General features: G+C 40.7%; 1 protein-coding gene across 36 annotated transcripts in view, besides 2 other annotated features; it reads right to left on the minus strand.

The window, feature by feature from the left end:
• NCOA6 (nuclear receptor coactivator 6) overlaps positions 1-17956 on the minus strand; it is a 110878-nt gene that overhangs the window by 80275 nt on the left and 12647 nt on the right. For 4 of the 36 annotated variants that reach the window (XM_047440053.1, XM_047440049.1, XM_047440047.1 and 1 more), the window contains exon 2: positions 14405-14474. The exons of the other annotated variants lie outside the window; for them this stretch is intronic. The gene's annotated coding sequence lies outside the window, so the exon portion shown is untranslated. The remainder of the gene's footprint in view (positions 1-14404; positions 14475-17956) is intronic. 36 annotated transcript variants of the gene reach the window in all.
• Positions 1866-2842: an enhancer, noted in NCBI's record as "H3K27ac hESC enhancer chr20:33384717-33385693 (GRCh37/hg19 assembly coordinates)". NCBI's record gives its function as "activates a minimal SCP1, AML or CMV promoter by ChIP-STARR-seq in primed H9 embryonic stem cells {active_cell/tissue: H9 hESC(primed)}" and the evidence as "EXISTENCE:reporter gene assay evidence [ECO:0000049][PMID:30033119]".
• Positions 2843-3818: an enhancer, noted in NCBI's record as "H3K27ac hESC enhancer chr20:33385694-33386669 (GRCh37/hg19 assembly coordinates)". NCBI's record gives its function as "activates a minimal SCP1, AML or CMV promoter by ChIP-STARR-seq in primed H9 embryonic stem cells {active_cell/tissue: H9 hESC(primed)}" and the evidence as "EXISTENCE:reporter gene assay evidence [ECO:0000049][PMID:30033119]".

A 17956-nucleotide genomic window follows, 5' to 3' on the forward strand; every position in this document is an offset into this window, starting at 1 on the left:
TCGGTAGAGCGGCAAAGCTCTCTTACAGAAGACTACCAGTTAATAAATGTAGAAGCAAAGAAAGAATTTCAAAATCACCATTTTGCAACCCCAAATGAAATAAATGATTCAGGCAAGGACGATCACAGGTTGCTAAAAATCATTTTTGCATGATCGAAAATTGTTGGAAAACAGGTTACCACAGTGCCAAAGGATCATTCCAGAGATTACTTCCGAATTGCAAAGGGGAAAAACTGAGTACCATTATAATGGGAAGATGTGACAGTCACCAGCTTAACCTAGTGATCAAACTCAGCAACAATCAGAGTGAGACTCTTCATTTATGCCTCTTGATGTGATGTAACTTTAAATACACAGACTAAGTTATGATGTATTATTACCAAAAGTGCCTAACCTAGGTCTAAACAAGTCTTCAACGTAATTTCTCCTTCACAGGAATTCAAGAGATAGAGCAACAAGAAAAATCACAAGAAAACGTAATCTGACAGAACTAGAATATGGAACTTGCTACAATAAAACTGGTCTGGTCTCTTCAAAAAGCCAAAATCTTGGGGGAAAAAATAGGGGAAGGATAGAGTTCTAGATTAAAAGAGACTGAAAGTCACAACAACCAACTGCAATGCAGAAATGTTACTCAGATCTGGTTTGAAGAAAACAGTTTGAAATAATTTTTTAGGCAGCTGGGGGAAACTGAATGTGAACTGAGTAGAAGGTATTAGGGCATTATTTTTAATTTTCTTGGGTGTGGTAATGTTATTTGTAATTAGGTAGAGAATGTTCTTTATTCTTAGAAGATGCATGCTAAAGCACAGGGTTATAAAGTGTCATTATGTCTGCAGCTTGTTTTCAAATTATTCAACAAAGGTAGATATTACAAATATGGCAAAATGTTAACACTTGTTTAAACTACATGGTCTTCATGGTATTATTGTTTCAACTTTTCTATATGTTTGAATTTTTTTTTTTTTTTTTTTTTTTTTGAGACAGAGTCTTGCTCTGTCACCTAGGCTAGAGTGCGGTGGCATGATCACAGCTCACAGCAGCTTCAAACTCCTGGGCTCAAGTAACCTCCCACCTCAGCCCCAGAGTAGCTGGGACTACAGGTGCACAACCACCATGCCCAGCTAATTTTTTGATTATTTGTAGAGATAGGGTCTCCCTATGTTGCCCAGGCTTATCTCAAACTCCTAGGCTCAAGCAATCCTCCTGCCTCGGCCTCCCAAAGTGCTGGGATTATAGGTGTGAGCCACCGCACCCGACCTGAAATATTTCATATTAAAAAAGTTAGAACCAGGTATAGCGGCTCATGCTTGTAATCCCATCACTCTGGGGGTGCTGAGGAGGGCAGATTGCTTGAGCCCAGGAGTTTGAGATCAGCCTGGGCAACATGGTGAAATCCTGCCTCTACAAAAAAATACAAAAAATTAGCTAGGTGTGGTAGTGTGTGCCTGTAGTCCCAGCTACTCAGAAGGCTGAGGTGAGAGAATCACTTGAGCCCGGGAGGCAGAGATTACAGCGAGCTGTGATTGTGCCACTGAGCTCCAGCCTGAGCCTATAAGTTCGAGACCAGCCCAGGCAACACAGTGAGATATTGTTTCAACTAAAAAAAATAAATAAAAAATTGACTGGGTTTTGTAGCTACTCAGGAGACTGAATTGGGAGGATCACTTGAGCTGAGGAGACTGAGGCTGCAGTGTGCCATGATCAGCATTCCAGCATGCCGGAATTCCACTGCTTTCCAGCCTGGGCAAAAAAGCTAGCATCCCGTCTCAAATTAAAAAAAAAAAAGGTTGGAAGAAAAAGACCATAAAGGTCCATGGGAGCTGAGGGTGAGATCGAGACTTCTCACTATGTATCTTTTTGAATAATGTTTTTCTTTTGAACCATGTGAATATATTACCTATTGAAAACAAAAGTTAGCTATAAATAAAACCTCTTAAACGCTTAGTATCAATATTTCTACTCTTACCCCATCTCAGATATGCAACAACAAAAATGTCTCCTGCTTTTTATCTCCTTTTTTGAAGGGGGCTCCTCTGGCTACATTTCCCCACGAGTCATTTGACTCATGATAAGAACCTGGACCATCAGCCAGCATGGCCAAGGAGTAATTGTGCCACCTCTTCCCAAAGCCCAGGCAGCACAGCTCACAGCTCCGGGAAAGACTCCTTCCCTCTGCTTGAGGAGAGGAGAGGGAAGAGTAAAAGAGGATTTTGTCTTGCAACTTGGATACCAGCTCAGCCACAGTAGGAGAGGGCAGAGTCCTGAAGTCCCCATTCTAGACCCTAGCTCCTGGATGACATTTCTAGACATACCCTGGGCCAGAAGGGAACCCACTGCCTTGAAAGGAAGGACTCAGCCCTGGCAGCATTCATCACCTGCTGATTAAAGACCCATGAGGCCCCAAATAATCAGCACTGATAGCCAGGTGGTATTTGCTGTGGGGCCATGAGTGAGACTGAGACATGCTGTCTTCAAGCATGACCCAGCACATTCCCAGCTGTGGTGGCTACAGGGAGAGACTCCTTCTGCTTGAGAAAAGAAAGAGGAGTAAAGGGGCCGGGTATGGTGGTTCATGCCTATAATCCCAGCACTTTGGGAGGCCGAGGTGGGTAGATCACCTAAGGTCAGGAGTCCCAGACCAGCCTGGCCAACATGGTAAAACCCCATCTCTACTAAAAATGCAAAAATTAGCTGGGCGTGGTGGTGCATGCCTGTAGTCCCAGCCACTCGGGAGGCTGAGACAGAAGAACTGCTTGAACCTGAACCTGGGAGGCGGCAGCTGCAGTGAGCCAAGATCACACCATTGTACTCCAGCCTGGGAGACAGAGCTTCCAGCTTAGGTACCAGAGACACTAAGCTACAAGACAAAGTTCCCTTTACTATTTGGGCTATGTAGAGCACTAAGCAGGCTCTCGGGGTCCCCAATTCCAGGCCTTGGTTCTTGGATGGCATTTTCATTCTTTTTTCTTTTGTTTCCTCTGACTGCATATTTTCAAAGAGGCTCTGGGCCTGCCCTGGGCCAGACAAGAGCCCACTGTCCTGAAGGGAGAGTCCTAGGCCTGGCAGCATTCATCACAACCTAACTCAAGAGCCTTCGGGCCTTGAGTGAACACTGGCAGTAGCCAGGTGGTGCTTGCCACAGGTCTGGGGTGGTGGCGGCCGTAGGGAAAGATGCCTCTGTTTGCAGAAAGAGGACGAAAAAACGGGAAGGACTTTGTCTTGTTACTTGGGTGCCAGCTCAGCTGCAGCAGAACAAAGCACTAGATAGATTCCTAAGGTTTCTGACTTCAGGCCCTGGCTTCCGAACATCTCTGGACCCACCCAGGGCTGGAGAGAACTTGCTGCCCTGAAGGGAAGGACACAGCATGGCTGGCTTTGCCACTTGCTGACTGTAAAGCCCTAGGGCCTTGAGTGAAGAACACAGGTGATAGCCAGGTGGTAGTTACTACAGGCCTTGGGCGAGAGACCCAGTGCTGTGCTGGCTTTAGGTCTGACCCAGTGTAGTTTCAGTGGTGGGGTGGCCACAGGGGTGCTTGTGTAACCTCTCCCCTAGCTCCAGGTAGCTCAGCATAGACGGACAAATTCCAGTTGTTTGGGAGAGAGTAAGAGGAGAGAACAAGAGTCTCTCCCTGGTAATCCAGAGAATTATTCTGGATTTTACCTAAAACCACCAAGGTGGTACCTCTATGAGTCTGCAAGAGCCACAGTTTTACTACACTTGGGGTGCCACCTAATGTAGATACAAATGCAGTGACAAGAGACCTGGATCACAACACTCAAGTCCCTTTGAATACTCGGAAAGCCTTCGCAAGAAAGATGGGTAAAAACAAGCCCAGACTGTAAAGACTATAATAAATACCTAACTCTCCAATGCCTAGACACCAACAAACATCCACAAACATCAAGGTAATCCAAGAAAACATGACCTCACCAAATGAACTAAATATGGTACCAGAGACTAATTCCAGAGAGACAGAGATATGTGACCTTTCAGACAGAGAATTCAAAACAGCTGTTTTGAGGAAACTCAATGAAATTCAAGATAGCTCACAGAAGGAATTCAGAATCCTATCAGATAAATTTAACAAAGGGACTGAAATAATTAAAAAAATCAAGCAGAAATTCTGGATTGAAAATGCAACTGACATACTAAAGAATGCATCAGTCTCTTACCAGCAGAATTGATCAAGAAGAAGAAAAAAATGGTGAGCTTGAAGACAGCCTCTTTGAAAATACAAAGTCAGAGGAGACAAAAGAATGAAGCACATCTACAAGATCTATTAACAGAAAATAGCCTCAAAAGGGCAAATCTAAGAGTTACTGGCCTTAAAGAGGAGGTAGAGTGAAAGAGAGGGGCAGAAAGTTTATTCAAATGAATAATAACAGAGAATTTCCCAAACCTAGAGAAAGATATCAATATTCAAGTATAAGAAAGTTATAGAACACAAGCCAGTTTAACCCAAAGAGTACTACTTCAAGACATTTAATAACCAAACTCCCAAAGGTCAACGATAAAGAAAGGATCCTAAAAGCAGCAAGACAATAGAAACAAATAACAATTTTAAAAAATACAATGGAACTCCAATACATCTGGCAGCAGACGTTTTAGTGGAAACCCTATAGGCCAGGAGAGAGTGGTATGACATATTCCAAGTGCGAAAGGAAAAAAAATTTACCCTAGAATAGTATATCCAGTGAAAATATCCTACAAACATGAAGGAGAAATAAAGACTTTCCCAAACAAAAGCTGAGGGATTTCATCAACATCAGACCTGTCCTACAAGAAACGCTAAAGGGAATTCTTCAATCTGAAAGCAAAGGACGTTAATGAGCAATAAAAATCATCTGAAGATACAAAACTCACTGGTAATAGTAAGTACACAGACAAACACAGAATATTATAACACTGTAATTGTAGTGTATAAACTACTCATATCTCAAGTAGAAAGACTAAGAGACCAATTAAAAATAATAACTACATCAACTTTTCCAGACAGTACAATAAGATAAAAATACAAACAAAAAGTTTAAAAGTGGGGGGAACAAAGTTAGTATGTAGAGTTTTTATTAGTTTTCTCTTTGTTTATGCAATCAGTGTTGTTATCAGTTTAAAATAATGGTTATGAGATATTATTTGCAACCCTCATGATAAACTCAAATAAAAAAATACAACAGATAAGAAATAAAAAGTAAATTAAAACATACCACTAGAGAAAATCACCTTCACTAAAAGAAAGACAGGAAGGAAGGGAAGAAGGAAAAGAAGACCACAAAACAACCAGAAAACCAATAACAAAACGGCAGGAATAAGTCCTTACTTATTAATACTAACATTGAATGTTAATGGACTAAATTCTCCAATGAAAAGACACAGAAAGTGGCTGAATGAACAACAACAACAGAAAACAAGACCCAATGATCTGTTGACTACAAGAAACACACTTCACCTACAAAGACGCATACAGACTGAAAACAAAGGGATGGAAACCAAAAAAGAGCAGGAGTAGCTATACTTAGATCAGACAAAATGGATTTCAAGACAAAACTATAAAAAAGAGACAAAGAAGGTTATTATATAATGATAAAGGGGTCAATTCAGCAAGAAGATGTAACAATTATAAATATAAATGAACACAATCCTGGAGCACCCAGATATATAAAGTAAATATTATTAGAGCCAAAGAGAAAGACAGACCCCAATACAGTAAGAGCTGGAGATTTTAACATCCCATTTTCAGCACTGGACAGATGATCTAGACAGAAAATCAACCAAGAAAAATCAGATGTAATCTGCACTACAGACTACATGAACTTAATAAGATATTTACAGAACATTTAATCCAATGGCTGCAGAATCCACATTCTTCTCCTCAGCACATGGATCATTCTCAAGGACAGACCATATGTTAGGCTACAAAACAAGTATTAAAATTTTTTTTAATTGAAATAACATCAAGTATCTTCTATGACCACAATAAAACTAAAAATCAATAACAAGTGAAATTTTGGAAACTATACAAACACATGGAAATTAAACACTATGCTCCTCAATGACCAGTGGGTCCATGAGGAAATTAAGGAGGAAATTGGAAAATTTCTTGAAATAAATTATAATGAAAACACAACATACCAAAACCTGTGAGATACAGTGAAAGCAGGACTAAGAGGGAAGTTTATGGCTATAGGCATTTACATTAAAAAAGTAGAAAAATTTCAAATAAACAACCTAACAATGTATCTTAAAGAATTAGAAAAGCAAGAGCAAACCAAACTCAAAATTAGTAGAAGAAAAGAAATAAAGATGAGAGCAGAAATAAATGAAATTGAAAGAATACACAAGATCAGTGAAATGAAAAGCTGCCTTTTTGAAAAGATAAACAAAATTGACAACCTTTAACCAGACTAACAAAAAAAGAGAGAAGACCCAAATAAATAAAATCAGAGATGAAAAAGGAGACATTACAACTGATACTTCAGAAATTCAAAGGATCGTTAGAGGCTACTATAAGCAACTATATGCCAATAAATTGGAAAACCTAGAAGAAACAAATTCTTAGACACATACAATCTACCAAGATTAACCATGAAAAAATCCAAAACCTGAACAGACCAGTAACAAGTAACAAGATCAGGTGAAACCCTGTCTCTACTAAAAATACAAAAATTAGCCAGGCATGGTGGCACGTGCCTACAGTCCTATCTACTCGGGAGGCTGAGGCAGGAGAATCACTTGAACCCAGGAGGTGGAGGTTGCAATGAGCCGAGATTGCATCAATGCACTCCAGCCTCGGCGACAGAGACTCCATCTCAAAAACAAAACAAAACAAAACAAAAAACAAGATCAAAGCCATAAGTAAAAGCCACAATAAAAAAGAAGCCTGGGATCCAATGGCTTCACTGCTGAATTCTACCAAACATTTAAGGAAGAACTAATTCCAATCCTACTCGACCTATTCCAAAAAATAGTGAAGAGAATAGTTCCAAACTCATTCTACAAGGCCAATATTACCCTGATACCAAAAGCAAAGAAACATCAAAAAAAGATGATAGACACAGTGATAAACACTAATGCAAAAATCCTCAACAAAATACTGACAAATCAAATTAAACAACACATTAAAAAATCATTCATAGGCTGGGTGCGGTGGCTCACGCCTATAATCCCAGTACTTTGGGAGGCCAAGGCAGGCAGATCACCTGAGTTCAGGAGTTCAAGACCAGCCTGGCCAACATGGAGAAACCTCATCTCCACTAAAAATACAAAATTAGCCCAGGCACAGTAGCTCACACCTGTAATCCCAGCACTTTGGGAGGCCGAGGCAGTCGGATCACGAGGTTAGGAGATCGAGACCATCCTGGTCAACATGGGTGAAAGCCCGTCTCTACTAAAAATACAAAAATTAGCTGGGCGTGGTGGCGCATGCCTGTAATCCCAGCTACCTGGCAGGCTGAGGCAGAAGAATCACTTCAACCAGGGAGTCGGAAGTTGCAGTGAGCCGAGATTGCACCACTGCACTCCAGCCTGGCAACAGAGCAAGACTCCGTCTCAAAAAAAAGAAAAAAAAAATTGGTGAAAATATAAAAACGAAATAATACTATGATCATATATTGGTTACATATTAAAATATATCAGTTCATGAACTGTTCGAAACAACTAAGCAAAATATAGGTTTAATTATATAATTACATTATTTTAAAATTTTTGCAAGTCAAAATGCACATGAACTGAAAGGCAAAATGCAAGTTGAGAGTTACACATTTTTGTTTGTTTTAGTTTTTTGAGTCAGGGTCTCACCCTGCTGCCCAGGCTAAAGGACAGTGGCACAATTCCCAGCTCAATGCAGCCAAGTGATCCTCCCACTTCAGCCTCCCGAGTAGATGGACCCAAGTGATCCTCCCACCTCAGCCTCCACCATGCCCGGCTAATTTTCGTATTTTTTGTAGAGACAGGGTTTTATCATGTTGCCCAGGCTGGTTTCCAACTCCTGGGCTCAAGTGATCCACCCACCTCAGCCTCCAAAAGTGCTGGGATTACAAGCATGAGCCACCATGCCCAGCGATTTATAAAATTAGAAATGAAAATAATCAATGATCAAAAAGCTTGCTACACTTCGTAAGTAATCAAAGAAAAACAGGTCAGGCATGATGGCTCACACCTGTAATCTCAGAACTTTGGAATGCCAAGGCGACTGCATCACTTGAGGTCAGGAGTTCAAGACCAGCCTGGACAACATGGTAAAACCTCGTCTTTACTAAAAATACAAAAATTAGCAGGGTGTGGTGGCCTGCACCTGTAATCCCAGCTGCTCGGGAGACTGAGGCAGGAGAATCACATGAACTCAGAGGCAGAGGTTGCAGTGAGCCAATACGGCACCACTGTACTCCAGCCTGGGTGACAGAGCAAGACTTGGTCTAAAAAAAAAAAGAAAAAAAAAACAAAAAAACAAAGTGAAATGTGTCTTTTTTCATCAAACTGGAAGATTTAAAAATAAAATAATTGTGGCAATGTACAATGAAATAGATTAACATTTACATTTTGCTTAAATATAAGCAAATAGAATTATCCTTAACATCTTAACCATAAGCTTAACAATCTAGGAATCTAACCTAATGAAATAACTGATTTTGTGGTCAAAGATTTATATTCAAAGAAGTTCATCACTGACGGGTGCAGAGGCTCACACTTGTAACCCCAGCACTTTAGGAGGCTGAGGCAGGCGGATCACTTGAGGTCAGGAGTTCGAGAGACCAACCTGGCCAACATCATGAAACCCCGTCTCTACCCAAAATACAAAAAATTAGCTGGGTGTGGTGGCACACACCTGTAATCCCACCTACTAGGAGGCTGAGGCAGGAGAAATGCCTGAACCCGGGAGGTGGAGGTTGCGCCACTGCACTCCAGCCTGGGTGACAGGGAGAAACACCGTTTAAAAAAAAAAACAAAAAACCGTCATCACAGCTTAGACAACACAGTGAGATTCCATCTCTACAAAAATAAAATTTAGGCCAAGCGTGGTGGCTCATGCCTTAATCCCAGCACTTTGGGAGGCTGAGGCAGGCAGATCACCTGAGGTCGGGAGTTGGAGACCAGTCTGACCAATATGGTGAAACGCCATCACTACTAAAAATACAAAAATTAGCCGGGCGTGGTGACAGGTGCCTGTAGTCCCAGCTATTCAGGAGGCTAAGGCAGGAGAATCATTTGAATCCAGGAGGTGGAGGTTGCAGTAAGCCGAGATCACGCCACTGCACTCCAGCCTGGGTGACAGAGGGAGACCTTGTCATAAATAAATAAATAAATAAATAAGCAAGCTGGGTGTGGTGGCACACCTGTGGTCTCAGCTACTCAATAGGCTGAGGTGGGAGGATTGCTTGGACCTGGGAGGTTGAGGCTGCAGTGAGCCATGACTGCATCACTGTACTCCAGCATGGGTAACAGAGTGAGACCCTGTCTCAAAAAAAAAAAAAAAAAGTTCATCAAAATATTCTGTTGATGGTTCAACAACAGAAGTGGTTAAACAATTTAAATATACTCAAATATTGCTTCCCATTGAGACTAATGTTTTTGAGAATATTTAACATCATGAGCAATATTTATATTTTAAATATAAAATATATAAAACATGTTACTTCCGCTTTCTTTTTCAAAAAAATTATTTTAATCACACATAACTGTATATATACATGGGGTACAGTATAATATTTTGATACATGTATACAATGTGTAATAATCAAATCAGAGTAATTAATTAGCACATCCATCACCTCATTTATTATTTGTGTTGGGAACATTCAAAATCCTCTCTTCTAGCTATTTGAAAATATACAATAAATTATTTTTATCTATAGTCATCCTACAGTGCTAGAGAACACTAGAACGTATTCGTCCTATCCAGCTATAATTTTGTATCCATTAACCAGTCTCTTTTTATCCTTCCCCTGCTCTTCCCAGACTCTAGTAACCTCTGTTCTACTCTCTATTTCTTATACCCTTTTTTTTTTTTTTTAAGACAGTCTCATTCTGTCACCCAGGCTAGAATGCAGTGGTACAATCTCACCTTACTGCAACCTCTGCCTCCTGGTTTCAAGCAATTCTTGTGCCTCAGTCTCCCTAGCAGCTGGATTTTCAGGCGCGCACTACCACGCCCAGCTAATTTTCTTGTATATTTTTAGTAGAGATGAGGTTTTGCCATATTGCCCAGGCTGATCTCAAACTCCTGGGCTCAAGCAATCCACCCACCTGGGCCTCTCAAAGTGCTAGGATTACAGGTGTGATCCACCACACCTGGCCTATTCTACGATCTACTTCTATTGTGATCAACTTTTTTACCTTCCACATATAAGAACATATGGCATTTATCTTTCTGTGCCTGGCTTATTTCACTTAACATAATGTCCTCCAGGCTGATGCATGTTGCTACAAATGACAAGATTTCATTCTTTTATGGTATATATACCACATTTTCTTTATCTAGTCATGTACTGATGGACACAAGTTGATTATCTTGGCTATTGTGAATAGTGCTGCAATAAACATGAGAATGTAGATGTCTCTTTGACATACTGATTTCCTTTCCTTTGAATATATACCTATTAGTGGGATTGCTGGATCATATGGTAGTTCTCTTCTTAGCTTTTTTTTTTTTTTGAGACGGAGTCTTACTCTGGTGCCCAGGCCCCAGACTAGTATGCAGTGGTATGATCTCGGCTCACTGCAACCTCCAACTCCCAGGTTCAAGAGATTCTCCTGCCTCAGCCTCCCTAGTACTGGGATTACAGGCGCACACCATTGTACCCAGCTAATTTTTGTATTTTTAGTAGAGACAGGGTTTCACCATAGTAGCCTGGCTAGTCTCGAACTCCTGACCTTGTGATCCACCCGCCTCAGCCTCCCAAAGTGCTGGGATTACAGGCGTGAGCCACTGCGCCCAGCCCTCTTTTTGGCTTTTCAAGGAACCTCCATAACTATTTTCCATAATGGCTGTACTAATTTACATTCCAATCAACAGTATATAATAGTTGCCTTTTCTCCATCTTTTTGGTAATAGCCACTATTTTAACTGGGGTGAAATAATATCTCATTGTGGTTTTGATTTGCATTTCTTGATGACTAGTAATGTTAAGCAGATTTTCATATACTTGCTGACAATTTTACATTTTCTTTGGAGAAATGTCTATTCAGATCAAGTACCCAATTTTTAAAGTCAGACTGTTTTTCTACTGTTGAAACATTTCAGTTCCTTCTTTATTCCAGATATTAATCCCTTGTCACATGAATAGTCTGCAAATATTTTCTCCCATTCTGCAGGTTATCTCCTCACTGTTTCCTTTGCTGTGCAGAAGCTTTCTTAACTGGATATAATCCTATTTGCCAGCTTTTGTTTTTGTTGCCTGTGCTTTTAAGGTCTTATCTATAAAACCTTTGCACAGACCAATGTCCTGAAGTGTTTCCTCTATGTTTTCTTTTAGTGGTTTCATAGTTTCAGGTCTTACATTTAAGTCTTTAGCTCATTTTGAGTTGATTTTTGTATATGGTGAGAGATAGGGGTCTAGTTTCATTCTTCTCCATGTGGATATCCAGTTTTCTCAGCATATGCATTGAAGAGACTGTCTTTTTATCAATGTATGTTTTGGGCGTCTCTGTTGAAAATCAGTTGGCTGTAAACGTGTGGATTTATTTCTGGGTTCTCTATGGTGTTTCATTGGTCTATGTGTCTGTTTTTATGCCAGTGCCATGCTGTTTTGGTTACAATAGTTTTGTATACTTTCAAGTCAAGAAGTGTACTGCCTCCAGCTTTGCTCTTTTTGCTCAGGATTGCTTTGGCTACTCAAGGTCTTTTGTGGTGCCTGCCATACAAATTTTAGGATTGTTTTTTCTAAAGAAGTCTGTGGTAGACAGACTTGTAAAATGGCCACCAATTACTCCAGCCTCCTGGTGTTCATGCCTTTGTGTAATCTCTTCCTCCTGAGTATGGACTGGCCTGGTGATTTGCTTCTAACTAACGGACTATGGAAAATGTGATAGGATGCCACTCCATGATTATAAAAAATTGTGATTTCCATCTTCCTAGGAGACTTGCTATTCCTTTCTCAGCTTTGTGATGTTGAAGAAGCTACATGGAAAGGAATTCAGAGCAACCTCCAGCCATCAGCCAGTGAGAAACCAAGCCCTTCAATTCAACATCCCTTCAAGAAGAGAATTCTGTCACCAACCAAGTTAGTTTGGAAACAGATTATTCCCCAGCCAAGCGCTAAGATGAGACACCAGCCCTGGCTGACACCTTGACTACCTCCTGTGAGAGACCCTGAAACAGAAGACCCATCTAGGCTATGCCGATTCCTGACCCATGGAAACCCATGCCATAATAAAAATGTATGTTGTTTTAAACTACTAAATTTGTGGTAATCTGTTATGCAACAATAAATAACTATTGTACCCTACATGGAAATCCTGCTGAATAAACTGCCTGGCAATTTCCTTTTTTATTTTTTGAGATGGAGTCTCGCTCTGTCGCTCAGGCTGGAGCACAGTGGTGCAATCTCAGCTCACTGCAAGCTCCGCCTCCTGGGTTCACACCATTCTCCTGCCTCAGCCTCCCAAGTGGCTGGGACTACAGGTGCCTGCCACTAGTCCTGGCTAATTTTTTGTATTTTTAATAGAGACGGGGTTTCACCGTGTTAGCCAGGATGGTCTCGATCTCCTGACCTCATGATCCGCCCTCCTCGGCCTCCCAAAGTGCTGGGATTACAGGCATGAGCCACCGTGCCCGGCCTTTTTTTTTAGTTTTTGTTTTTTTGTAGAAACAGTATCTTGCTGGCGGGGCCTGGTGGCTCATGCCTGTAATCCCAGCACTTTGGGAGGCCGAGGAGGGTGGATCACATGAAGTCGGGAGTTTGAGATCACCTTGGCCAACATGGTGAAACCCTGTCTCTACTAAAAACACAAAAATTAGCTGGGTGTGGTGGCAGGCGCCTGTAGTTCCAGCTACTCAGGAGGCTGAGGCACGAGAATCGCTTGAACCCAGGAGGCGGAGGTTGCAGTGAGCCAAGATGGTGCCACTGCACTGCAGCCTGGTAACAGAGCGAGATTCCGTCTCAAAAAGAAAAAAAAAAAAGAAACAGTGTCTTGCTATGTTGCCCAGGCTGATCTCCAACTCCTGGCCTCAAACGGTCCTCCTGCCCTACCTTCCCTGGAACTCTGCCCAGCCAGGATTCTTAAATCAAATCACAGTGCTGGAACTGTGCCCAGCCAGGATTCTTAAATCAAAATATTTTTCCCTCTATTTATAAATATTTATCCAAATATTTATGGGGGGAAAAAAGTCACAGGTCACACAGTGGCCAGTTCTGCTTTAGCTAGCAGTGGTTCCCAAACTTGTCTGTGCTTTTTTTTTTTTTTTTTTTGAGTCGGAGTTTCGCTCTTGTTGCTCAGGCTGGAGTGCAATGGTGCGATCTTGGCTCACTGCAACCTCTGCCTCCCGGATTCAAGCGATTCTCCTGCCTCAGCCTCCCGAGTATCTGGGAGTAAAGGCATGAACCACCACGCCTGGCTAATTTTGTATTTTTAGTAGAGACAGGGCTTCTCTATGTTGGTCAGCCTGGTCTTGAACCCCTGACCTCAGGTGATCCGCCTGCCTCGACCTCCCGAAGTGCTGGGATTACAGGCGTGAGCCACAGTGCCCAGCCTTGTCTGCACTTTAGATCTTCTTGAGATCTTTTAAAAATTCCAAAGTCCAGGCCATACTCCCAGGGCAATCAAATCACAATCTGCTGGGGAAGGGAAAGGGACAATGGCATCAGTTGTCCAAGCTCCACAGGTGATTTCAATGTGAAGACAGGTTTGGGAAATCACTGAGCTAAAGTTTTATCTGTGTGATCAAGAAAAAGCTAATTCAAGATGACAGAGAGAGAGGCAGCTGAATGAAACTAACTATATACACCTGCCCTTCTCTGAGATCGTAAGGTAGCCTTGATTTCCCCCTGCAAAGTTATGAATTCTGAAAATATCAGAGAGAAGGCCAAATAAATGCTTATTTTGCTTTTTGGATTTATCCATGCCTCCATTCGCCTCCAGAATTATGAACAAGTGAGAAATTCACCTTTTTGTCTTTTCTTGGTACTTTTCATGGAACCAATAAAGAATTCTGCCATATTACATGTATTCAACATAACTAATAAGACATGACTTGAATGCTTTTTTATTAAGCAGATCTTATTTAATTTAGTCAGTTTTGATCCAACCCACATGCCAAATGCAGCTTGCCAAAGTAAAATACCCTATGGACATTAGGATCAAAATGCCTCCTTTTTAAAAAGTAAAGTCTATTTATAATCCAATCCTTTAAGTTGAAATTAGGCCTTTTATAAATTGAATTTCATGTATTCTACAGAATCAACAGACCTGCTTAAGAACTCTCTGACCACTCTCAGAAAAGTTAGTCAGTGGGACCCCTCTCCATTCCTCCCAGGACCTAAACAAAAAAGAAAAAGGGCAAGAGGAAGAAGAGAAACATCAGAAGAAAAGACTACATATAAACCCTTATAAACCTATTCAAAATAAATTTTTGTGATTGGCCAAATTCCTTCTCTCTACCACTGTTTCTGCTAATTTTACTCTAGAAAGAGTTGTAAAAGGCCAGGTGCTGTGGCTCACGCCTGTAATCCCAGCACTTTGAGAAGCCAAGGTGGGTGGATCACCTGAGGTAAGGAGTTCGAAACCAACCTGACCAACATGGCAAAACCCCATCTCTACTAAAAATAAAAAAAATTAGCCAGGCATGGTGGCGCACTCCTGTAGTCACAGCCACTCGGGAGGCTGAGGCAGGAGAATCACTTGAACCTGGGAGGCAGAGGTTGCAGTGAGTGGAGATTGCACCACTGCACTCCAGCCTGGGTGACAGAGCTAGACTGTCTCAAAAAAAAAGAGTTGTAAAAGACAGATGACCTATCTACAATTTCTAGTCCAGTGGCTTTTATTAAGGAAAGCTTATAATCATCAAAGAGGCTCAATATACTTTTGAAATACCACAGTAGTGGTTACACAAGTGTGTTAATTTTATAATTCATTAACCTTATAATTTGTGTGCTTTTCTTTGTATGTTACACATCAATTAACACATTTTTACAATAGATACATTTGTCCTGGGCAGAATCTCTGAAAGATTCTAAGTAAGCAGGTATCAGAAATAGTCAAGGTTACATGATTTGTCCTAGGTCACAGATATAGTTAGCTACAAATGAAGTCCTTCATATCACTTTCCTACTCTTTCTGTTATAAATTGTAAATATGTTGATATTATTATACTTTTTAATTTAACATTACTTTCCTACTTAAGACTATGAAAAAAATAAGTATTACAAGTGAGAACTGCAAAAAACAAGCAAACAAGTAAATAGAAAACACATGTCCTGGGTTCATAACTGTGCACTATTGAAGCTATTGTACCATCCATATGAGGAAATTAAATAAAGCCTAACGCCCATGCAACCATTTTTTTTCTTTTTTTTTTTTTGTTTGTTTTTGAGACGGAGTCTCGCTCTGTCACCCAGGCTGGAGTGCAGTGGTGCAATCTCGGCTCACTGCAAGCTCCGCCTCCCGGGTTCACGCCATTCTCCTGCCTCAGCCTCCCGAGTAGCTGGGACTACAGGCGCCCGCCACCATGCCCAGCTAATTTTTTTGTATTTTTAGAAGAGTCGCGGTTTCACCGTGGTCTCGATCTCCTGACCTTGTGATCTGCCCACCTTGGCCTCCCAAAGTGCTGGGATTACAGGTGTGAGCCACCGTGCCCGGACTCTGTGCAACCATTTCTTAACCTCAATATCCTTTTTCAAATGCTTTCAATGTAGACATATGTCAAACTATTAGTAGTAAAATCAACTGTGTACCTATTCAGATAGACTAGCATTATTTTTGATATGAAAATATAGGGTGATAGAACGGAAAAAGGGCTAGGCTGAGCATTGCAGAGTGGGTTTTAGTCATGGCTGTCCCATAAAGTTGTTTTATGATTTAGGGCAAGACATAAATCTCTCTGGTCTAAGAGTATTAAAATGAGAGGATGAACACCAGAGCTAGGACTAAACAGAATCTCAGGTTCCTTCCAGGTTTAAGAAAACTCAAGGACTATTTAACAACAACAACAACAACGTGTATATATATATATATATATATATATATATATATATGCTTTCAAAATGCATTTTACAAATGATTATCTCTATTCAAATATGTTTAAAGTAGCTTTGTAAAATAAAAATACTAGAATTCCTCTGGCACCTGCTTCATAAATACAAGCATATTCTTCAGCTTGTATCAAATGCAAACCTCTGATCTGTTGTCTAGGTGCAACAACCTCTCCCTCTCAGTTGGCTAATAATAACATTGTTGATTCTTTATCATCATGAGACTCTTTTGCCTGCATTTAAAAAACTTCATTTTATGAATCAATTTCAGATTTACAGAACATGAGTTATTTTTATGAGAAATATGTATCTCTCAATATGTAACAGAAGTCTTTCTTAATTTCTAATAATCTACTGTAATTTGAAAACTTTCCATGGATGCATTTATTTGACTACCCTTTACCAACTGCCTACTAGCACTCTGCTAGGCACTTTCCTGCTCCTGAAGTTACTATACAAGAACAAAAAGACTGTGGAATGGTTAATTGAAACAACATTATTTCATGAATGCCTCCATCTGAATATTACACTTATAGTATTTAAAAAATTAAGTTGGCCTTGTAACCACACAACCTTAAATGTTTCAGGATAACTTATAAGACATTGTTAAAGTGTCTAAATAAACAGTTAAATGCTCACTGTTAAAGACAATTTGCCTAGGCATAACTATTATAAGATCCAATTTCATCCTCCCTATACCCTTTCATGAGGTCCTTATAAAACTATTTCATGGTGGCCGGGCACGGTGGCTCATGCCTGTAATCCCAGCACTTTGGGAGGCCGAGGTGGGAGGATCACAAGGTCAAGAGATCAAGACCAGCCTGGCCAACATGGTGAAACCCTGTACCTACTAAAAATACAAAAAAAAAATTAGCTGGGCGTGGTGGCATGTGCCTGTAGTCCCAGCTACTTGGGAGGCTGAGGCATGAGAATCTCTTGAACCAGGGAGGAAGAGGTTGCAGTGAGCTGAGATTGCGCCACTGCACTCCAGTGTGGCGACAGATGGAGACTCTGTCTTAAAAAAAAAAAAAACAACAACAAAAAAACTATTTCATGCTTATTCTCAGATCTGGGGCTCCCAAGGGAAAATTTGTGCAGCTCTCCAGCCAAATCAGAGAAACTTAATGCTCTGAAAGGATCAACAAAATGCCTGTCAAGGTGATTGGCATTTCAATACAACAACCCTGGTTTGCTCTTGGTAGGGATAATAGACAATTTAAGGGATTAGGAAATATTAACATTAATTTTTAAACTTCAATCCTAACTTCTTAGTATAAGAAACAAAAGATAAATTAGTAAAACATGAAACTTGAGATTTCCAAAACCACTCATCCCAACACATATTATAAACATATTATAAACCGTAAGTCAGAGGCTCAGTGAGATTTTTCCCACGTTGTTACATAAAAAAAACAAAGAAATAAATCTGTGCCCAAATTGCAACAAAGAGAAAAAAAATTACAAATGAATAATACAAAAACAGAAATAAAATCTAGAAGAGGTCAGGCGTGGTAGCTCACGCCTGTAATCCCAGCACCTTGGGAGGCCAAGGCAGGAGGACTGCTTGAGCCTACGAGTTTGAGACCACCCTGGGCAACATAGGGAGACCCCACTTCTACAAAAAAAATTTAAAAATTACGGCCGGTCACAGTGACTCATGCCTATAATCCCAGCACACTGGGAGGCTGAGGTGGGTAGACCACCTATAATGAGGTCAGGAGTTGGAGGCCAGCCTGGCCAACATGGTGAAACCCTGTCTCTATTAAAAATA

Source organism: Homo sapiens, chromosome 20 (genome assembly GCF_000001405.40).
Source record: "Homo sapiens chromosome 20, GRCh38.p14 Primary Assembly".
Lineage (NCBI taxonomy): Eukaryota > Metazoa > Chordata > Mammalia > Primates > Hominidae > Homo > Homo sapiens.